Source organism: Homo sapiens, chromosome 11, assembly GCF_000001405.40.
Source record: "Homo sapiens chromosome 11, GRCh38.p14 Primary Assembly".
Classification (NCBI taxonomy): Eukaryota; Metazoa; Chordata; class Mammalia; order Primates; family Hominidae; genus Homo; species Homo sapiens.
In genome coordinates this window covers 70,651,754-70,674,009 of record NC_000011.10, presented here as the reverse complement: position 1 = coordinate 70,674,009, position 22,256 = coordinate 70,651,754, and the positions used below count along the sequence as shown (strand labels likewise).

Here is a 22,256-nt window from a genome sequence, read left to right as displayed (position 1 = left end):
GAATCCACTCCCATAACCCAAACAGCTCCCACCAGGCCCCACCAACAACATTGGGATCAAATTTCACCATGGGATTTGGAGGGGACAGATAGCCAAATTATATGAGCCTCCTACTTTTAACTGTTTTTACAACTGCCCCTCTGGTGACACCAGTCTCTTAATGAAGCATCAGCACTTGGAAGAGAAGCAAACTTTTCAGTGGCCCTAGTGAGTGGAGGGAGGTTGGTGGCCAGGGGTGGACGGCAGCAGTGGCCTTCTCCTCCGGCATGGGCCTGGCCTGGGTTTCTCATGGCCTCCCACTCAACAGCTCTGTGCCATCCAGGTTGGGCAGGTGATCCTGGTGGGGGGACCACGGGCTGCAGGTGGGCCCCCAGCCCTAGAATCAGCCTTCCCTACAAAGCCCAGGACATCAGGTGACTGTCACACTGAGTCTGGTTCCCGGGAGAGGAGGACATTTCTGGTTTTGTAGCTGTGGGGCCATCTACTCCCCACCCCCACCAGAGGGACTTGGGAACTTGCCTCACAAGGAGACCCCTGTGGCCTGTCCCATGGCCCGCCAGCATGGTCTTTGTGGGCGAGCTTTGAGACAGACAGATGGGGCAGGCTTGGCCTGTCATTTTAATTAACGAATGAAGGAAAAGTCATCAACAGTCCCTTCCTGCACTCACAGCAAAATGCCAGGCAGTTGTACTGTTCCCCTGATTTTTTTTTTTTTTTAAAGAACATTCAGTTCAGAGTCAAAGGCTGAGGCTTCAGTGTGACTTGGCCCTGCTGCTAGTGGAGGCATGTGCCCTGGGCAAACCTGTCGCTGCAGGCTGCCTGGACCTTCAGTGGCGGGCGACCAACTCACCCCATTTGTCCAGGACCATCTTGGTTTTAAAACTGACAGCCCCATATCCCAGAAAACCCCTTTGTCAGGAAACATCAGGACAGGGGGACACCCAGCCTGCATCAAAGACCACATAGGAGGTCCCAGCTCAGGCTTCCTTCACTGCGTCAGGAGCACTGATGAAGCTTCTGCTCAGATATCCTGGTCTTTCATTTTGCAGACAGGAAAACCCAGGCTCAGGGTGGTTGAGGGTCCTGTCCAGGGTCCCACTGCCAGCTCTTGCCAGAGCCAGGACTAGAAAGTGGGCCTTCTCCACCTAGAACAGCACTTTTCCTTCCTTCCAAAAATAACACCGGTGGCTGGCACCATCCAAGGCTGCAGAGTGTGGTGGGCAGAACCGTCCTGCCTTCGGGGGCACTCATGTGCTACTGGGGGAGTCAGACAGCAAATGAGTGAACAAGCAAATCACAATTTCAAACATAGTAACTGGCCAGAAGAAAGCAAAGCAGAGAGAAAAGCTGGAGGGCTGGGGACACAGGAGGACGGCAGCCACCAGGCGGCAAGGCCCATCTCTGGAGGTGACCCAGGGGACCTGCAGGGACAGCAGCCTGGCTCGGGGAGACCTGGAGCAGTGTCCTGAGAATTGCACAGGCAACGCAAAGGCACTGTGTGGAGATGAGTGTGACCTGCTGGAGGAAGAGAGGATGGCAGCATGGCTGGAATGGGAGGAGTCAGGAGGAGAAGGGGCATGAATCAGATCACAAAAGGTCTTAGCCATGGTGGAGAATTTGGATTTTATCCTCGATTATAATGGGGAGGCTGGGTGCGGTGGCTCACGCCTGTAATCCCAGCACTTTGGAAGGCCGAGGCAGGTGGATCACTTGAGGTCAGGAGTTTGAGACCATCCTGGCCAACATGGTGAAACCCTGTCTCTACTAAAAATATAAAAATTAGCCAGGCATGGTGGCGGGCACCTGTAATCCCAGCTACTCAGGAGGCTGGGGCAGGAGAATCGCTTGAACCCGGGAGATGGAGGTTGCAGTGAGCCAAGATCGCGCCACTGCACTCCAGCCTGGGCGATAGAACAAGACTCCCTCTAAAAAAAAAAAAAAAAGAAAAAGAAAAGAAAAGTATGGTGGGGATCTGTTGGGGTGTTTTAAGTGGGGGAGATACAGTGTGATTTAAGGTTTTTACATAAAGAGTGAATTCAGAGGAGACTTTTCAGTGGGCTCAGAATAGAGATACTCATGGTACTTGCAGACAGGTTGGCTGTGGGGGAAGGAAAGAGCTCACTTCAGGACAGCTCCTCGGGTTTGGGCCAGCACTTGGGTGTTCTGCCTGGCACCGCAGAGTCCGTGCCAGCTTTGGAAGCACAGGGAGGCATCCTGGCATCCCTTGCTTGGGGGCCCCCTGCCCTCATCCCATCTGCCCACAGCCCTGTGTGCAGAGACCCGCCCACCTCTGAGACACAAACAGTGTGGGGACTTTCTCCTTGTTGGCTAACACACCCGTGTGTCTTGCTCTCCATAAGGAAGGACACCCAAGGGCAGGCCTCTGCTGATCTCAGTAGGAGAGTCTTTTACCTGGGGACAAGTGAAAATATCTGTTTATGCATAAGGTCTCCAGAATGAAGCAAGTTCTAAGGTGCATTCTCACATGCTAATAGCCTTCCAGCCCCTGCTGAGTGCTGAATCCTGGCCAGGGGCCTTTTAAACAAGGAGCTTCCCACCCCACTGTGGTCTCCAGGCTGTGGTTGACATCTGTAGTCGTCAAGTGAGGATACTGGCGCTCGACGAGGTTGAGGAACTTGGCCAGGGGCGTGGCGCTGGTTTGGGGAAGCTGGGGTTCCACCGGGGTGCTCAGCTTCCAAGGCCGGCATTCTCCCTCCTAGCATTCTCCCTCCTAGACGACGTTTCCGTTCGTCTCGGCAGGGAGCGCTGATCACACCCCGTCATGATCATGAGCGCAGTTAAGCCGTATCTGTCTCCTCCGCCAGCCGTTCCTGGCAGGTAACATGCCTGGTAGTGCTCAGGAAATGCTTGTGGGTGATTTATTACAAAGTAATGAGACAATTTAATTTGAATCAAGTTCTTTGTACATTATTGTTTCTATTAGGAAAAACTTGCATTGCTTATCATGTTAGCAATGAGGAGGAAAATGGTCATAATAAGCGCCGGGCAGGGCGTTTTCATAATTGCCGATTTGAGAAATGGCTTCCGCCAGCGCACGTCTCTGGGCACGGGTGTGCGGGCTGCATGAGTACAGAACCACTGCCCTCCTGATGCCACGTGAAGCGACGCAGCCCCCTGCCTGTGGGTGAGAGTGGCTCCTGGGAGCCAGGAGGAGTCCCCTCCGTGCAGGAATTGCCCAAAGTCATCACCTCCTGCCCTGGAAACAGCAATGGCCTCCCCAGGAGCAGGCTGGCCGGGGCTGTCACTCAGGCACCAGGATGGCACTGGGCGTTGGGCATCATTTCCCCTGTGAGTTATGCAGGAAGGGCAAGAGAGCAGCATCACACACTGTAACTCTCCGACCAGGAAGCAGGATGCTGGGAGCAGCTGCACGTGTGGTCATGGGCTGAGAAGCTCCCCCATGCCCCTTGGGAGTGACAGATGACGGGGAAACCCTCCTGTTCTCCCGCAGCCTGCCCCGCCTGTCGAGCGGCCCTCTGTGCTGCCCTGCAGCCAGCTCTGCCACGGTGAGCTGGGCTGGCTGCCCGCACCCGGCGGCCAAAGCGCCCGAGCTGGCATCTCCGCTGAGCTGGGACACCTGTTGGGTCCTCACCTCAACACCCCCCACGTAACTGCTGAAAGCTCTCTGCTTAGCCTCATCTTTCCTGATTGGCAGAGCCCGGAAATTTCTAGGACATCCACTGCCATCACCGTTCCCTGGAGGATCCTCTTTCTAATATAGTGCTCCAGTTCCTGCCTTCACCAGGCCCTGCCACTGAAATGCGATTATACCAGGAATGATTTAGCGAAGCTGCTCTCAGGCCCTTCCCTGCCTTGGAGAAGGCAGATCTCCTGGCTCCAGCTGCTCTGGGAAGGACTTTCAGGGGCAATAAACGCACCACCCAGTCTCTCTGTGGGGAGTCCTTCCTGGCTTTCCCAGGTCCCACCACCCACCTCTATGGACCTTGCTCCACCCCCCTGCATTCCAGCGGTCCCCGCCTGGGTCTGATCAGACATCACACCCACAGCCCATGTTCAATGTACCTTTCTGCCATGAAAAACATTCAGAAGTGATTTAATCATTCCGCCTTTGAACTTGTTTGGCCGTGAGTGATACACTGATCGTTCCCCAGCAGCTCCTGTGATTCCCCAGCCGCCATCAGCACACCCAAGGATTCTTGCAAGGTGGGAACACCTGCCCTCCGAGTGGTTCTACACGCAATGAAGTGATGCGTTTATGGATACCAGCTTAAATGGGTCGTGACGTTGACCCCGTGTTAAATATCAGAGACACTGAATTCAACAGAGATTAACCGCACTGTTGTTTTCTCTTTGGATTTTGGAGCCAGTGAATTTTATTTTTCAGGTTGCAGACACATTTGGGGGTCCCTGCAACCCTCGGAGACAGCTGGAGTCTGGACCTGTAGGGCCTGGTTGTGGAAACAGCCCCGCTGCCTCCTGCCCGGTGGCTCTGGAGGCCCCTTCCGCACATCCAGGGCGGGTCGGCTGCTCCAGTTCTGCCTTCCCACCCAGTGCTGGGATGTGCAACGCCCCCCACCGAATGCTCAGATGTGCAGCCCCCTCCTCTGCTGGCCTGGACCTTGGACCTCACACGTGCACATGTTCTGACATCAGTGCCTCATCCGATGTCCAACCCCGGCCAGAGGAACCACCGTCGCTTCAGCCCCACTCTGACCTTGGAAGCCCCACCCTGCATGGAGGCAGAGGTGGGAACTCTGTCATCCACCGTTCCCCACAGACCACTCACAGCCGCTTTAAGAGAACAGCCAGGGCTTCTAGGCAGGAGCACGACAGTGTTCACGCTGATGGCCAGGGAGCCTCCTCAGCCAGCAGCAGCCGACTCGTGCTTGTGCATTGTTCAGATGGAAGCATGATCATTGGATGGAAGTTCCTGGCACAGGTGCAAGTTGACCCTGAGTCATTCCAGAAGGATTCGGGCCTCACCGGAAAGAACGCCAGGAAAAGCCATAGGGCAACAGCTCTTCTGCCATTTCAGTCCTCATGGGTGAAACTGGGGTAAAGCGTGAGTGGCTGGGGCCCTGCTGACACCTGCACTTGTGCGTCACCGCCAAGCTGTGTCCCTAGACTGCCCTGGGTGAGTAGGCAGCCAACGTCTGCAGCCCCGTGTGGTCAGCTGCTCCTGCCCTCCCGCCTCATCACGGCCCTTCAGACATCAGGGCCGGCTGCCTACCTTCCAACCCCACTCTGTCTGGAATGTTCTTTTCTCTTCTGTCCCCTCCCCAGTCCTCCAACCCATTCTCCTATGTATACTTCAGTCCTCCTCCTCCAGGAAGTCTTCCAGGTGCCCGTATGGTTCTCACAGAACCACGTCCTGCACTGTTGAAGGCACACATTTCTGTGACTGTGGATTGATGTTTATCTTCCTCACTTGCCCGGCCTTTGCTCTAACGATCACCACAGACTAGGGGGCTCAAAACAAGAGAAGTCACTTACCTGTCACAGCCCTGGAGGCCAGAGGTCCAAAACCAAGATGACAGCAGGGCCACGCTCCCTCCGGGGGCTCCAGGGGAGAGTCTTCCTCCTCCACCTCTGCTGTTGGCCTGCAGTCCTTGGTGCTCCTCAGCTGGGCCACATCACTCCAGCCTCCACATCACTCCAGCCTCTGCCTCCACCTTCCCATGGCCTCCTCTGCACTGCCTCTGGGTGTCAACCTCCCTCTGCTTTTCTCGCGTAAGGGCACAGTCATTGGTTTAGGACCCTCCCTAAATCCAGGAAGATCTCAACTCAAGACCCTTAACTAATTATACCTGCAAAGACCCAAATTCCAAGTGTCGTCACTTTCACAGACGCTGGGGGTTAGGAATTGGACACATTTTTTTGGGTGGGTTGAGTCACCATTCAACTGACCACACCAGACAACTCTATAAGGACCAGACTGGGCCTGGTTTGTTCCTTCCTAAATGCCCAGCACCCAGTTCATCCCCTGACTCTCAGTGGGTATTCAGGATGTAACAGCTGGATTGATTTATTGATTTACACGGCGGCTTGACACTGGCCCCAGTTACTTCTGAACTTTGAAACCCAGTCCCAGCTGGTCACGGAAGAACTAAAGCTGTCACCAGACGGGGCCACCAACCCAGCTGGGATCCTGAGAGCTATGAGTAAAGCCATCTGGTCTACCCCAATAACACTGGTGTTCAGAGTTAAAATGTCCACATCTATCCACCCCATGTGTGGGGAGGCACACAGAGCCACCCAGAGCCCCTCAGGCCCATACGTCTGGGCCAGCTCAGGCCTGGCTTCCTGTGCCTCCAAATGGACATCACCTCGAGGATCAGGTGCTGCTGCCAAGGGAGCTTGTTAAAGTGACTGACAGATCCTAAACGCCAACTGTCATCACTGGCACCTGCTGCCCGCTGGACCAGGGAAAGTGCAGCCTTCCCTGTGAGTCTGTCATGGCGCCCAGTGGGAGAAAGGGAACCCGGGCCACTGCTAAAAGCCACAGGGTGTGTGGCCACCTGTGGTCTTGCGAGGCAGACACCAGGAGCATCTTTAGGCCTGCCAGCGGGGAGAGACCTCTGGGGCCTGCTGCGTGGCCATCCCTGGGTCTCCACAACCCTCCTGTCTTGCTTCAAGGTGCTAAGTGCTCCAAGTGTATCCCATAAGCTCTCTTGCAGCATACAGTGGGACCGTGGGTGAGCAGAAACAGGCAAACCTTTGATGCTCTCTCCTCCAAGTGGCTCCCAGGAGGGCATCAACATGGAGGTAGTTGTGTCTCCGGGAAGCCAATATGGCTCCCATAGGGATACCTCTTGCATTCTCCATGGCAGCATGGCCAGGGCAGCCTAGACCCCATCTTTGTTTGAACTAGGAAAAGGTGCTTGCCCCTTCCTTAAGACGTTTTTCTTCCCTCTGTGACGAAATTACCATTAGTACCTGTGCCGTGATGGCCATGATGGCAATGGTTTCCTCCATAGTTGTACAGTGCACAACCTGCACAGCTGTACTTGGTGGGGCTGGTTGCCCACCCCCTTCACCTTCCACAGCTCCTGCTGCAAGCAGATGTTGGCAAAAGAGGGTACATTTGGGGCATGTCAAAGTGCCCTTCCACCTAGCTCAGAAAACATTTGGGGAGTGCGCCGCTGGATTACATTTTTTGTTCAATCAATAAGCACGGGTCAATGTTGTGTTGCATGGAGATACTCAGAGGATCAGGGCATGGCATTTGCTTACAAGGAGCCCACAGTGCCTACTTCAGGCACGTGATCAGTGAGCAGGTTAGGGGGTGAGACGGGCTTGGAGAAGGCTGTCCCAACACAGCGTGGGGAACGTGTAGGCGCCTCGGTCATTTCCCCATGAAACTGGATTGCAGTGCATCTCATCTGCATGTGGAGAGTGGGTCTGCTGGTGCAGGGGCAGGGCAGGCTGGCAGGGGCCAAGGTCAGGGCAGACTCTGGTTCACAGGGACTTCAGCACAGTTCTAGGGCAGCACACAGAACTCAATGCCACAACTTCCGGACCCAGCCGCAGCTGTCATCCTGGGATAGGTTTTAGATTCATGAACCAGCAGAAGGAGCCTCTGAGGGTTTCTTGTCTCCAGAAAGGCCCCTTCCTAAGGCCTGCGTGTGAGACCCCCCTGTCTGATTGCATGGGGATGGGGGGTGCTGCCAAGTTCCGCCTTTCAGACACAGTGACTGCAGCTCCTTTCAAGGAATGTCTCTTCTAGAGTGTCCCATTGCTTTTCATGAATTCCCCAAAACATTGAAAGTTTCTAAGGGCCTGGGGCTGCCTTTTCTGTTTCCTCTCTGACTTCCTGGGCCAAGCCAGGTGCATGCCGTAGGTCCTCTGCAGCACTGAGTCTACCTTCTGGGTTTAACTAGGAATCCAGGGATTGTTCTGGTGCCTTTTTACTCGAAACCCTGTAGTCATCCTTCGCCCACCTCCCACCCAACATCCGTTTCTCCCTGCTCTGCTCCTGACTTGAGTTCATACCCATTTTGCATCCCCTCTGGGCACACATGGGGCACCTGGCCTATGCGGGGTGCTGTGGGCATTTGGGGTGGTCTGCAGGATGAGGTCACTGCCCCCATTGACCTTGTAGAAAATGTCCCCTCCCCCACAAGAGACAAGCTCAGAGGGGACATTTTCTCCAGGGTCACCCAGCTCAAGAAGGTGGACGGGGATGCTAAGAAGAGCAGCTTCCCCTGGTTACAAGGAGCCTCCTGCTCATGGAGCATTCACTGGGCATCGCCTCACTTGCTCCTCCTAAAACTTACAAGCCAGAGGTTTCTCCCCAACTTTGCAGGTCAGGAAATTGAGGCTGTAAGTAGTCAAGGTGGTCAATGTCTGGGTTGAAATTCAAACCCATGTCTGTCTGCCAGTGAAAGTGAGATGGGTTCATGGTGGGTGGGGAGTGGGGGCTGTTTAGATCCTGAAACAATGCCGGAAAGAGAAGTTAGAAACAGTCCTTCTTAATGTCAGAGACTAAGCAGTTTGGTGTTTTACTGAATAAACAGGACAGGGCCATTACAGTCTTGGGGCAAGATCTTTGCACAGTTACAAGTGTGGGCTAGAAAATTCTCAGATGGAGCAGGGTGTGGTGGCTCACGTCTATAATCCCAGCACCTTGGAGGCTGAGAAGGGAGCATCCCTTGAGGCCAGGAGTTTAAGACCATCATGGGCAACACAGTGAGACCCTGTCTCTACAAAAAAATTAAAAATTAGCTGGGCATGGTGGTGTGTGCCTGTAGTCCCAGCTACTTGGGAGGCTGAGGTAGGAGGATCACGTACTGCCTGGGGTTCAAACTTACAGTGAGCTGTGATGGCACCACTGCACTCCAGCCTGAGTGGCAGAGCAAAACCCCGTCTCTAATTTTAAAAAACTAAGTTCTTGGGTGCATTAGGAATCACTGAAAAGGTTTTAGCCCTGGATGTCGAGATCAGAGGGGTCCCTGTAGGAGGAAGGGGGTCCGGGGAAGAGAGGGTGGCGTGTGCAGACAGGGATCCCACTTGTAACTGTTGGAGTTATGAACATGTGCTGCTTGCCTGGGCTGGTTCTGAGGCATGGATGCACGACTCCACGGCCTCCAGCTCAGGACCCATCAGGTGCATCTTGTTGTTCTCATTTTGCAGAGCAGGCTCTGGGGCCTGATAGGTCAGTGACCTTGGGGTCAAAGCAAAGCTGGGATTTGAACCACGCTCCGTGTGATGCCAAAGCCTGTGCCTCCACCAGCCACACTGGAATGCCCCTGCCCTTCTCTAGTCTATGGGAGACAGCTAGCAAGTGTCTGGGCAGCCCCCCTGGCCCTAAGAAGTTCCCGTCGCAGGGTATGCTGGCAGGAAGTGGTCTGGGTCATCTTGGAGATGCAAGGTTTGGATGGCGTTGGGCACTGCAGGAGGAGCTGCCCAGCAGTGCAAGTGAGCACGCCTGGAGCGCATGACAGGTTCCCCTTGGAGCTGGGTGGAGATGGACTTGATCAGCCCATGTGTCCCCAGGGAGAGTGCAGGGCCCTGAGCTCCAGACCCCAGGGTTCGGCATCATCCTTCCAGGGTTTCAGGGAGGCGGTCACCCTCAGCAGCTCCTCTTGCAGACAGCAGGTGCACAGCAGGGTTGAGCAGAGGCTCTTGGCTTTGGCAGCCTTGGCCTTTAGAGAACCTTCCATGAAGGAGACACAGGAGACACACAGGCTGGTCACACAGCTTGCGCCTCCCCAGCCGTGAGTGAGCCATGGGGCCGGGGTGGGCTGACTCCCCTTTCAGGAGTTCAGAGGGAAAATGGGTGGTGACTAGAAGGCATTTCCCATGAGGGACACAAGTCTGTGTTCTCGTTGTGGGGGGCCGTGGAGACAGGTCGAGGGACCTGGTAGAGGGTCTGCTCATCAATGCCTCATGGACCCCTAAATCCATGGCAGTAGAGCCCCAGCTCTCCCTGCTCAGCCTCCTTAGGGCTGCAGAGTCCTGGCCACCTACCAGGCCTGCTGGAGGTTAATGGCAGCCGTCACAGGGACAGCGGCCTGAGGCATCCTATTACACCACACCAGCATGGCATGGCCTCATCTGACCCCATGGTGATCCCAAGAGGCCTGTAGGTTTGTTCTTACCCACTCTTGCTGTGCAGGGAAACTGAGGTTTAGAGAGCCCCATCATTTTCTAAAGGTCACAATAACCATGTGACCTCACCCCCAGGCTCCCAGGGTCCTGGACCTCTGACCCTGTGTCAGCCCTTGTTTGGTGGCCCTGAGCAGGGTAAGTGGGCTTCCAGGGATGAGCCAAGAGGGGCTCACAGTTGTGACCGAGTTCCCCAGAGTGGACCTCCCTGCACTTAGCAGGCTGTCTCTGGGGAGGGGGCAAGGTAAGGAAGGTCAGGGGCCAGAACCCCCCTCCCAGCTGCTGACAACGGGAGTGACCAGTCACCTGGATTGTCCTGGTCTTCGGCTGTGAAGCTATCATTCATGCTGGGCTATTCCTGGAAGACAGGGTCACCCCAGCATGCCTCCATGCACGACCCTCTGATGCTGTCGGGGGTGGGTGCGTGGAGTGGTGAGAAGAGCACGCGTTCCCTAGCTGGGTCCTCCGATCTCTCTGAGCCTCACCAGCCTCATCTGTAAAATGGGAGGATCGAGGGGCCGCTGCTCGTCCCTTGTCCAGGATACTGAGCCCTGTCATCCACGTTTGCCCCGTCCCTCCTCCTCCCCAGGGCCCCCCAATCCGGGGTGGCTGTGCTGTCACCAGCTGGCTGCACCTGGGGCCCTGTGCTTCCTGTAGACCGTGAACCTGGTGCTGGTGCCAGGCAGAGCTGACCCGCACTCCTCTGGGACCAAGAGTCCGTCAGCACATGGCCTTGTTTGAAATTTGCATCCCTGGGACTGCCCCTGTGCGACGGGGGCCTGGTGGGTTCCTCATGACCCATCTGCAGCTTTTTCCGGCTGGGCCGCTGGCCTGGTGTCCTTTCTCCTCACCCCCGAGGCTCACACACAGCCCCGCAAGACCCTGTAGAGGCCTCCCTCCACGCTGCCTCCCTCCCTTCCCCGCTCCCCTCCACAGAGGCCTTCCCAGCTCCCCACTAACTTCCGGGCAGCAGCAGAGTCCTACGGGGCGGGGGGGTGCCGGTAGCCTTCATCTCACTCCCCTTCTGCCCCCGCAGGCCACCCAGAAGGTGGGGGTGGAGGACAGTTCAGCCGCAGCCTGGAGGCTCACTGAGCAGGGCACCGTCCCACACACTCTGGGTGCCTCGGGGGCTGGATGTCATGTGGCGAGTGCCAGCAGGAAAAGCGAGAGGACACTGTGGCCACTAGAGCAAAGTTGGAGCTTTTTTGGTTTCTTTCCTTAAAAAAAAAAAATGCCATGGCTAGAGGCAAGCAGTTGTGGCTTTAGCTTTGTCATCTCAAAGGGGCAGCCACATACCCCCTCCAGTTCCCCAGCAATGAATTCATCATCCCCAGAGGGGGCTGGTGTCCTCAGGGGCTTTAACACCGAAATGTCCTGAGTCCTCTGCCAGGGAGCCCCCACCCCTCCCCGACCGGCCACCGGCCACCTTCCAAGGCTGCAAGGGACCGGGGGGACGCTGGAGGGGGGGATGCAGAGAGAGCCCCAGCCGCTCCCCCTCCCCGCCCTCTCCCAGCCCAGCCTGCGGATGCTCGCGCGGGATGACGCCCAGGCAGCCGCCGGGCGCACTGTGGGCTCGTCAGATGATTGTGGGGGCTCCTGCCTGCCGCACACCGCCGGCGCCGGGACGGGAGAGGGAGGGGGCGCTGGATGCGACGCGCAGGTCCCTGCGTCTCTGGTGCCTGCTGCCGGCTCGTGCGGGGAGCAGATAGGATTTGATTTTATTTTAAACCCCCTTCAAGGAAAAGCAAAACAAAACTGCTGCCTCATTTCTCCTCTGGCTGATTTTCCCGGGCTTCCCTGGAAGATGCGTGTGGTCGGGACAAGCCGGAGGAGCTCATTCCCGACGCCGCCGCTGCTGAGGCCGCCGCTGCCGCCGCCGCCGTTCGGGCCACTTACTTTCTTTGCCCTGGGCGGCGTCCTGGCCAGCCCCCCTTGAGCCTCCAGCTCAGCCATCCCTCAGGCAGCCGCCCCACCATGTATGACTCCTTCCTCCGGCTGGCTCCGGCTCTGCCTGCCCCCACCCTGCAAGTCTCATTGTGCCACGCTCGCCTATCCCGGTAGCCACCCCCCTCTTCCTTCGCTCCTCCTGCACCCTCGCTGCCTCCTTTCCTCCATGCTGCCTGGATCTGGCGAGCTGGGGTGATTAATTGGCTATGATGATGAACGTCCCCGGCGGAGGAGCGGCCGCGGTGATGATGACGGGCTACAATAATGGTCGCTGTCCCCGGAATTCTCTCTACAGTGACTGCATTATTGAGGAGAAGACGGTGGTCCTGCAGAAAAAAGACAATGAGGGCTTTGGATTCGTGCTTCGAGGGGCCAAAGGTAAGAGCAGCCGCTCTGAGCCTGAATATGTTCCCATGTTTGTGTGTGTGTGTGTGTGTGTGTGTGTGTGTGTGTGTGTGTGTGTGTGTGTGTGTATACGCCTGCATGAAAAACGTTCCCCAGCTCAGGAATAAGCATTAAATAAGCATTTTTCCTGGGGGCACTCAGTTGCTAGACAACCATGTTCCTTCACATTGTGCCTTACTCAGAAAACGTTAGGGCTTCCTTGAGGAATGTTTTTAATTTTCTGTAGATGATGTTGTTCTGAATGGGTTCTCTCTCCCTCCTGCCCCTCCTACCTTTTGTTTTTAAATGATGGGGTGGTCAGTATTTTGTGTTCTAGTTGAGCCAGACTGTGGCTACCCTCAGAGCTCTGGGTCTCAAATCCCCAGGATTGCCCTGGCCTGAGTTTCAGGCACCTAGAAACTGCCCCATTCTGGGAGTGGGCTTTGGCTCCAAGGGCGGCAGGCATTTGTGTGCTCACCTCTAAGGTGACTTTGCAAAGGAAATGTGACAAGATGGTCCCCTCTGCCGTGGACTGAGCCGGCAGCACACACGTTACGTGGCCCGTCGTGGGAGGCTCAGGAATGCAGTCCATGGCGGTGCACCTGCCAGTCACCCTGCACGCGCAGCTTCCCCTCCAAAAGAAAACAAAATGGCATCACCTCCCCATGAGAGGGGACATCCGCCCACTGTGTGTGTGGCTCAGCCATGTGGAAGTTTCATCTTGGAGCTTACGCGCTGTGCCAGGGGTCCCGCACCTGTGCTGCAGGAGGCCTCCTCCCCAGCTGGCATGCCCACCTGCCTCAGACTCAGGCAGCTCCATAGCGAGCTGTCCAGAGAGAGAAAGAGCAGATGCATCTGTCTCTGTGAGAGCATCCACGCCTGTCTGTGTGATTTGCTCTCCCCTCCCCCTGCTGGAATCTTTATCTCCACACCCACCCACCCTTGGCCACTCATGCCTCCCTAGAAAAGTCCATCTCCTGCCCTGGAGTTGCACCTGGCAGCTGTGTGGGGCCCCAGAAGCCAAGCCTCACTGTGCTGGGCAGTAGTGGTTCAGCACCCACACACACACATGCCAGTGCCCAGGGACACTGGTCACACACAGAGTGGTCACAGAGGCCTGGACTCCCTGTAGAGAGGACTCATGAGCACATTCCAAATCTGTAGCCACCCACTGGGTCAGCGTGATGTTCCGTCCGCGTTCCAAGTTGAATTCCCTTGGTTGCGAGTCTACGTAGATGTAAATTTGGCAAGTGGTTTAGTGTGGTGTTTCTGTAGCTCTGTGTGGCAGGGGAGGAACTTTTCCATTTTTAGAACCGAAAATGTTTAGTCACTGATGCTTTTAAAGAAAATGACAGGCGTGTAGACATGTACCACAGAGCACATTATCCTGTGGTTTCAGCAGAGAGGCCAAGAAATATGATGGCGGCCCCAAGGTGCAATTGACTTCATTGCTTGAGTTGCATCAGCCCATGAGTATGAATCTCAAGCCCTTCCTGGGGGAGAGTTGGCCTGGACTAGCCACCTGCAATGGGAGATGAGTGGGCCCACTTCCTCCCGGGGTCCTGTGGGGAGGTCAGGCAATGTGAACTTGGAAGACATCTCCCAGGCTTGTAACCAGGTGCTGCTTGTCTTCCCAGCTGACACACCCATTGAAGAATTCACACCAACACCGGCTTTCCCAGCCCTACAGTACCTGGAGTCCGTGGATGAAGGTGGGGTGGCGTGGCAAGCCGGACTAAGGACCGGGGACTTCTTGATTGAGGTAGGGACACAGGTGTCTGTATCTTTCTGCTTGGGGAGAGCGCCGACTCTCGGGGAGAGGGTCGTAGTCCTGGCAGCACAGCCACGAGGCCCAGTCTGGGGGTGCTTGTGGAGGCTGCCATGAACTTTCATTGGTCAGTTTCTCCCACCGTGGGTGCCACTGCCTGTGGACCTGGTGTTGGGCTTGTCTTGGAGGCCTTGGCCGTAACCCGTTGGAAGGAGGAAAAGTCTGTGGAATTTGGTCATTGGTCTTGAAGTAGAAGGTAGAAAGAGGAGGCATGTGGTCACCATGATGTTGGGGACATGTGCAGACCTGTGGGTGGTTTAGTTGTGACTAAATAGGCACCAAGAGGAGTCATCGTCCCTTCTTGTGTCCTATGGGTGAGTCGGCAACCACTCTTGTGTGGCAGTTGCTGGCGTGAGGTCTGTAACATTGATGGCTAAGAGCTTGTAGATTTGCAGGTTGTGGTAACCACCCCATCAGATGGACGATGGCCTTCCAAGACCAAGGAGCCCGGGCAAGAGGGATGGCTGGTGTCGATGGTGCAAAAAGGAAACTTAGGAATTCAGATGCTTTGAAAATGAACTTTTGCTGGTACTGAAAAGGAAAGAGCATTCTCTTCCTTTAGAGAATAGAGGTTTGAGTGCTCCGGCTCTGCAAACAGTCCCTACGGTTGGCACGTTGGTGTGTGCGAGGGGTTCGGAGGCCCCAGTACATCTGATCACCTCGCCTTTTTGTGAGTTTAGGTGTTCAGTTTTAATCTTGTTATGCAAAGGAACATGTGACTCTTTGGAAGTAGGAAGAAGAAAAGAATGTTACAGGTTGAAAAAGATGATATTTTAAAGGTTCAGTAGACTCGAATGGTCCTCGTTGGGAGTGCGCATTTCTTGGATGCACGCGCTCTTCCATGTCACCCTGAGCCCAGCCTCGTGTACATCAGAACTCCACATGCAGGTGGAAGGGGTGGGTACGTGGCATCCAGCCAGCCATTTGGTGGTCCCTGCCATTGGGCTGGACAGACAGACATTCATTCTGTAAATGAGGAGCCCACATCTCCACCCGTGGTGAGAGGGCTACCCGTGATCATTTCTCCCAATCAGGCCTAAGCTCCCAAGCTTCTTGTTCATGCTATGATTCTGCTAGTGATCTCCTTAGAGATCCTCAGGACTATTACGGGGCAATGGAAAGTCAGAAGGGAAGAGACTATTGGAGAGCCAGGTAAGATGGAGCAGGTGCTTAAACTTATTCTGAGTGCCTCATGTTGATCTCTTTGATTTGCTGGAAGATGCATTTAAATTATTATTGACCAATCAGAACCTGGTTTGAATGAGAAATGAGCTTATTTGGGTTCTTGTGTGTTGAAACTGTCGGGTGCACCACCAGAATGACAGAGATTGGAGCCCGCTGTGGCTTTGTGGGCTAACTCGATTTGTAACCTTCATGGAAATGCAGAGGGCCTGGGTTGAATCATCCTCTGTAGGATGCAGTTGGGATGTGAGTCCCCTTCGTGTGTGTGTGTCTGTGTGTGTGTGTGTGTGTGTGTGTCTGTGTGTGTGTGTGTGTCTGTGTGTGTGTGTGTGTCTGTGTGTGTGTGTGTGTGTGTGTGTGTGTGTGTGTGTTGGGGGGGCGTGGCCTTGGGCCTAGCAGCAGGGCTGAAGTCTATAGGTGGTGTAAGAGTGTGTGCACGTGTGACAGGCAGGGTGGGGGGGGTGTTGAAATAGGTCACTCTTGGTTCTTGATTTTCAATAATAAAAGAGGGCTGCAGATGCAAGAACAACCCCCGTTGTTCAGCTCATTGGACTGTTTCCTGGATAACCTCATCAATAAGAGAAACGTGGCCTGCTGAGGCACGTGTGTGGGCCCTGCACTTGCCCAGTGAGCGGAGCCTCAGTGGGTTAGAAGATGTAGCTGTCTGTGGCTGCAGCGCTCACCTGGGTGGGGCTGAGAAGGTGGACCTGTCCTGTCGGTTTGAAGCCTTTGTGGAAATTTGGAGCTTTGAGAGTTTCCACACTTCTGTTTCTAAGCACCTCCTCTGACATTGCTTTTAACCTCTGGTATGCAAATAGATTTGCCATTTTGGGGCAGGTTTTATATTCTGGGTAACCTCTGACTTCCAGTATTCTAGGAATGGCTGGTCCTGAGATGCATTAGGGCTGCGCCTGCATTATGATTATCACAGATAACCCAAGGAGCACTGGGCCCTCCACAGCCCTACGAGGCTGCTCCACACCAGTCATACACTAATGAGGGTGCGGGGTGCAGGCAGCTGGACCCTTGCACGATCCTGGCTCCTCCCAGTTCATGTCCACAGCTGCCTCTGGGACTCAGAAATTCTCCTCTAGGGGCTTAAGACTGAGAATTCCATTGAGTTGTGTTCCTAGCGACTGGATTTTGCCACCGGAATATTAAAATCTTGTATAGCATAATAGGTGCGTGTTTGTTCCAACAGACCATGTTTCTCTATTTTTAGTGAAGAGCTTTGACCTTGGAGGGATGGTGTGAAATAGCCTCACATGTCTCACGTGAATTTTCTTTTTGGTGAGCAGCCAGTCCTGGAGTCAGTGGGGTTTCTGAGCTCCCGGTGAGGTGCAAGGTCTCCACGTGAAAAGCTGCCCAAAATGCAGGCATTCTGTCTTCCTTACCCCAAGCAGCCCTTGGCAAGCCTTCCTTTCTCTCTGCTATTTTGAAAGAACCTCGAAAGTGTGACAGATTTTTATTTTCTCTTTAAAAATGCATGCTGCGGTTTGAACTTTTGGACCAATGGGCACCCTTTGAAGTGAATGTTGGCTTTTAATGTCTTTGGTATCTCTAGAACTTCATTTTCCCTCGTTAACTTTGTGAGAATGCCCCGACGTGGCCATCCGGCTCTCGGCCTTGGTGCCTGTCATGATTTCCTGCTGTGCATGACTTTCTTGGGTACTTAGCTTGTAGAATTTATTTCTCTCCTACCTAAGCTTTTGGGAAGAGTTTGTTCTTTTGCTGTTGTTTTTGTTCCTTGGTTGACCACCCCCTGACCCTACCAACCACAATCAAAGGCTTTGAGCTATCTCCAGATCGGGAGTCTCATGAGACAGATAGATGTTATCACTCAAGCTGTGTGGTAATAAAAGGTTCACCTCAGAGGTGGACGTGAAAGATAAGTGAATGTCCCACGGGTAGGGACATTTGATCACAGTGGCCCCATGGATGGTGCGATTTGCCATTTCAGATCAGCTAGTGTGCCGGAATTCCCAGGATAGACAGTGACACTAAGCCGTCCCAGATTGTGAAATGTCAGCCAGCCCAGGGGAGAAGGAGCCAAAGAGATTTCAGAGGCCGTGGGAGGGGCAGGGCGGCGGGAAGTTGAATGCCCCTGCGGAGAATGCCCGTGGGACCTGCTGAGGGAGGCTGAAGCCGAGGCTTGGAGCAGTGACAGCCCCCGAGAGAAGCAGGGCAGGTGTTTCTTTCTATGCAGGTCAGAGGTGAGGATGGGGCCTCCACCAGCCAGGAGTGACAGAGGCCCATGTCCCTCTGGTGACAACAGGAAACCCAGTCCAAACTGGTTTTCATAATGATTAGAGCTTGTCAGGAAGCTGAGACCAGAGAGTTTCAAAGGAGAGTGAGCCTGCCATAAGAGTTTGCTGAAGACTTTGTCTGCTGTCTCTTTGAGATGGCCCTTATTAGGCCCCTTCACTCCCACAACATGGGGCTGGAGAGATCACAGGTTGCTTCTGAAGTTCACGACATGTGCTAAGGAGGATGTGGGTGGTTCCTGGATGACGGTAGTGCATCAAGTGTGTAAGGAGATGTGGAGGTGGGGACGCCACTTGGATGTCATGCAGGGCTCACTGTAGGTCTCACTCAGTGAAACCTGGCTGGGCGTCAGTCACCTGAGGGTTATAGAAACCTCGTCTCCAGCCCACACGCCCTGAATCAGAATCATGAGGCGAGAGCTGGGCATCCATGAAAGCTGCAGTGGTGATGCCGGGGGTCCCAACAGGCAGGCAAGGTGATGACCCACTGGCCCAGTGCAAGTTGACATTCCAGCCTCTTGATGTGGCCTGCCAACTAAAGTCTCCTCGACCCAAACACAAGCAGGTGCTGCGTTAATCTCCTAGTCTTAAGACTAGGACTGTCTTCCACAAACCCCTTGTTTGACAACCTAAATGTTGTTTCTTGAATGACTTTTGTGATCTAAAATATCCTGTAACTGAGACATCCTTACAGTTCAACTCAACAGCAGGCAGGCAGAGGGCAAACAACATTTGCAACAAATGTCCCAAGAAGGCTGTGTCCTTGTTTATAGCAGCTGAGCTGGATCTCCAAACCCTACAAGCCCTGCAGTGCTCCGCTTAACCCTCACAGTCATCCATATAGCATGTGTGTTCCTCCCCATTTTACAGATGGGGAAACTGAGGTACATAGGTGCAGTAACTACATGGCCATGTAGCTGGTGAGTGGAGAAGGTGGAATTCCAACCCACATTGTCTGACTCTGTAATGTCATGGCTCAAAGATGCCTGAACAACACTTTGATGTGCTTTATGTATAAATGGGCAAAAGGTAAAAAGAAAAGCAGTGCGGTGACTGTTTTATTTTCAAATTAGCAAATACTTTTTTGTGACTATACTCCTTGCTGGTGACAGCACTCATGTGTTGCTGGGGGAAAGCCTAAGTTGCCATAAATGTTTTCACAATCAATGTGGTAGTATGTAACAAGAGCCATAAAGCTGAACCAGGAATTTTACATCTAGGAATCCATGCTAAGGGAATAATTTTTTAAAAAACAGGTAGAAATCACGCCTGTAATCCCAGCACTTTGGGAGGCCAAGACGGGTGGATCACCTGAGGTCAGGAGTTCGAGACCAGCCTGGCCAATATGATGAAACCCCGTCTCTACTAAAAATACAAAAAATTAGCTGGGCGTGGTGGTGCGTGTCTGAAATCCCAGCTACTCAGGAGGCTGAGGCAGGAGAATCGCTTGAACCCGGGAGGCGGACGTTGCCGTGAGCCGAGATCACGCCACTGCACTCCAGCCTGGGTGACAGAGCAAAACTCCGTCTCAAAAAAAAAAAAACAAAAAAAACAAAAACAAAACCAGGTAGCAATTACAGTGTGGCAAAAACAAGGAGTTGGGGCAGGGAGGGGGCGGGGCTAATAGGAGAATGGTTCAGTGGCAATGGACATCTGTTGTGAATTCATAAGAAAGCATTAAAAATGATGTTTACAAGGAGCTCTTAATACCAACCAGAAAAGGTTACATTCTACTTAGTGAGAAAGGCAGAATCAAAATGATCAGCACAATATCATCTAATACCATCTTTCCCCAGTATAGTCATAGAATAGAAAACAAAAAGGAAAGGAAATATTAACCCCTAGGTGGTGAGATTGTGTTATTTTCTCTTTCTTTCAGATGTTTGTCTCAGATTTCCTAGAATCGAAGTATTCATATTTTGAAAAGTATCCATTTCATACATAGGAAACTGTGTCTTAGAAGAAAGTTATCTCACAGAGGAGACAAATGTTCAGCCCCCTTGGCACAGATAGTGCTGTTTGCTGTCAGAGGAAAAAGCCTTCCTGGGCATTAATTAATTTCCCGGGGCCATTCCTTACCCGCCTGCTGCAGGGCTCTGATGACGCCTATGGTTTTTGTGATTGTTTTCTTGGCCCTGAAGTGGCCAATCTCATTTTTGTGTTAATTTCTGCAAATAGGTTTTCCCTTGCAGTTAAAGCAGGTGGCAGTATCCTTCATCCTTGAAAAGTGGTGCTCGAGTTTGCTAATTACATTTTCCTCGTATTAAATACTTGCACGAGAGAGGGCGTGGATCTTCTTTATACTCGTGGTTTGTATTTAAGTCAGGATGCTAAGAGGGATGCCCTGGTGTTTTCCTCGGAGACCCTGGGAGTATCTCATAAGGCCGGGTGTGGTGGCTTATGCCTGTAATTCCAGCACTTTGGGAGGCCAAGGCAGGCAGATCACTTGAGGTCAGGAGTTCGAGACCAGCATGGCCAACATGGTGAAACCCTGTCTCTACTAAAAATACAAAAATTAGCTGGGCATGGTGGCATGTGCCTGTTAATCCCAGTTGATTGAATGCCAGCTCTGTGCTCAGCGCCTCTGACTAGCAGTCCAGTGCTGAGAGCCCAGTTCATCTCAGGTGATTCTGCTACTGTCACAACCACCCAATTTATCAACAGGAATACTGGGACCCAGCAAGCCTAATGACTGATCATGCTGAATATGGACTTCATTTTCTTTCTTTTTTTTTTTTTTTTTTTTTTGGAAGGCTGAGGCAGGAGAATCACTTGAACCCGGGAGCGGGAGGTTGCAGTGAGCCGAGATCGCACCACTGCACTCCAGCCTGGGCAACAGAGCAAGACTCTGTCTTGAAAAAAATATATATGTTTCTTGGGCTGGTATTTTAAAATGGGACTTGAGAAATGTGAGGTGGCCTCTAGCATGTTTGACTTTGCAACCAAGCTGGTGTGAAGAACAGTTGTTAGAGCTCGCTGCTCAAGGGTCAATCCCCACAGCTTCAGAGTTAAATATTACTTGGAGGAAAGAAAATGAAGTCCAGGCCGGGTGCAGTGGCTCACGCCTGTAATCCCAGCACTTTGGGAGGCCAAGGCAGGCGGATCACGAGGTCAGGAAATCGAGACCATCCTGGCTAACATGGTGAAACCCCGTCTCTACTAAAAATACAAAAAAATTAGCCGGGTGTGGTGGTGGGCGCCTGTAGTCCCAGCTACTCGGGAGGCTGGGGCAGGAGAATGGTGTGAACCTGGGAGGCGGAGCTTGCAGTGAGCCGAGATTGCTCCACTGCACTCCAGCCTGGGTGACAGAGCGAGACTCCATCTCAAAAAAAGAGAAAAGGGAAAGAAAATGAAGTCCAGATGCAGCATGATCAGTCATTATGCTTGCTGGGTCCCAGTATTCGTGTTGATAAAATGGGTGGTTGTGCTGAACTGGGCTCTTAGCACTGGACTGCTGGTCAGAGGCGCTGAGCACAGGGCTGGCATTCAATCAACTTTCTTTTTTAGAGACAGGATCTTGCTCTGTTGCCCAGGCTGGAGTGCATGGCACAATCACAGCTCACTGCAGCCTTGAGCTCCTGGGTTCAAAAGATCCTCCCACCTCAGCCTTCCAAGTAGTTCAGACTACAGGCACGCACCACCATACGTAGCTAACTTTTGTACTTTTTTATAGAGCCAGAGTCTTGCTTTGTTGCCTGGGCTGGTCTCAAACTCCTGGCCTCAAATGATCCTCCCACCTCAGCCTCCTGAAGTACTGGGACTAAAGATGCATGCACCCCACCCGGCCTCAGTCAGTATTTGTCATTGATTATCATCTTGTCTTTCATCATCATTAATGATGCCTGACTCAGAAGAGGAAACCAGTGGCTATTAGTTGAACAAACGGGGATAATAATATTATAATAATGACTGATGTTTGTTACCACTATTATTTGAAGCATGTAGCAGTCACAGGGCACACCCACCATGTGCCAAGTACGTCGGACACTTCCAGCCAAGAGTACATGAGCCATGGTTTCCTTGTGCCTCTGTTGTGAGGAACATCACTAATAGAGGTACCTGTCCCACCCCACCCGCCAGCCTCCAAAGTCCCTGGCAGGCATATCTCCTCCTTTGGCTCAAACCACTGCTCCCAGAGCACTTACCAGCCTGTACAATTCTCTGTTGGCATGGGTCTGGCTTTTAGATCACCTTGGAATTCCTATTCCTGATGCCCACTTTGCCCTCTAGCAGCAAATCCCAGGGCCAAGGCCAGAGCCCTGTTGTGGTTTGCCTGGTGCCAGCATCCCTTGGGTTTAGTGGTTCAGCCACATCACACAGCTCACATTTCTCTAGCTTTCCTTTTGGGGTATTGTGAGAGACTTTGTCACATGTCCTGCTGGTGGACCTGATGACCAATCTAGGAACTCTCCACCCCATCCCCAAAATTTCTTCCACTCTTATTTAGATGGTTTTGAATGGCTACTTAATAACCAAGTTAAAGACCAAACACCAGCTGATGTTAGCAGGAACCCAGGGTGACTGCTGAATTCTTCAGCCAGGGTCACATTGGTGCTTTGGTC

The 22,256-nt window shown here is 53.3% G+C and overlaps 1 protein-coding gene across 32 annotated transcripts in view, besides 4 other annotated features; it reads left to right on the top strand.

The window, feature by feature from the left end:
• SHANK2 (SH3 and multiple ankyrin repeat domains 2) overlaps positions 1 to 22,256 on the top strand; it is a 785,381-nt gene that overhangs the window by 579,225 nt on the left and 183,900 nt on the right. For 24 of the 32 annotated variants that reach the window (NM_001441030.1, NM_001441032.1, NM_001441037.1 and 21 more), the window contains 2 exons: positions 12,332 to 12,414; positions 14,058 to 14,182. In NM_001441030.1, the coding sequence (NP_001427959.1) occupies positions 12,332 to 12,414; positions 14,058 to 14,182 (208 nt within the window). Of the gene's footprint in view, positions 1 to 12,168; positions 12,415 to 14,057; positions 14,183 to 22,256 lie in introns of those variants that run through there. The other 8 variants (NR_110766.2, NM_001441047.1, NM_001441046.1 and 5 more) reach the window with 1 other exon arrangement.
• Positions 341 to 868: an enhancer, noted in NCBI's record as "H3K4me1 hESC enhancer chr11:70519247-70519774 (GRCh37/hg19 assembly coordinates)". NCBI's record gives its function as "activates a minimal SCP1, AML or CMV promoter by ChIP-STARR-seq in naive H9 embryonic stem cells {active_cell/tissue: H9 hESC(naive)}" and the evidence as "EXISTENCE:reporter gene assay evidence [ECO:0000049][PMID:30033119]".
• Positions 3,503 to 4,030: an enhancer, noted in NCBI's record as "H3K27ac-H3K4me1 hESC enhancer chr11:70516085-70516612 (GRCh37/hg19 assembly coordinates)". NCBI's record gives its function as "activates a minimal SCP1, AML or CMV promoter by ChIP-STARR-seq in primed H9 embryonic stem cells {active_cell/tissue: H9 hESC(primed)}" and the evidence as "EXISTENCE:reporter gene assay evidence [ECO:0000049][PMID:30033119]".
• Positions 10,232 to 10,906: an enhancer, noted in NCBI's record as "H3K4me1 hESC enhancer chr11:70509209-70509883 (GRCh37/hg19 assembly coordinates)". NCBI's record gives its function as "activates a minimal SCP1, AML or CMV promoter by ChIP-STARR-seq in naive H9 embryonic stem cells {active_cell/tissue: H9 hESC(naive)}" and the evidence as "EXISTENCE:reporter gene assay evidence [ECO:0000049][PMID:30033119]".
• Positions 10,907 to 11,581: an enhancer, noted in NCBI's record as "H3K4me1 hESC enhancer chr11:70508534-70509208 (GRCh37/hg19 assembly coordinates)". NCBI's record gives its function as "activates a minimal SCP1, AML or CMV promoter by ChIP-STARR-seq in naive H9 embryonic stem cells {active_cell/tissue: H9 hESC(naive)}" and the evidence as "EXISTENCE:reporter gene assay evidence [ECO:0000049][PMID:30033119]".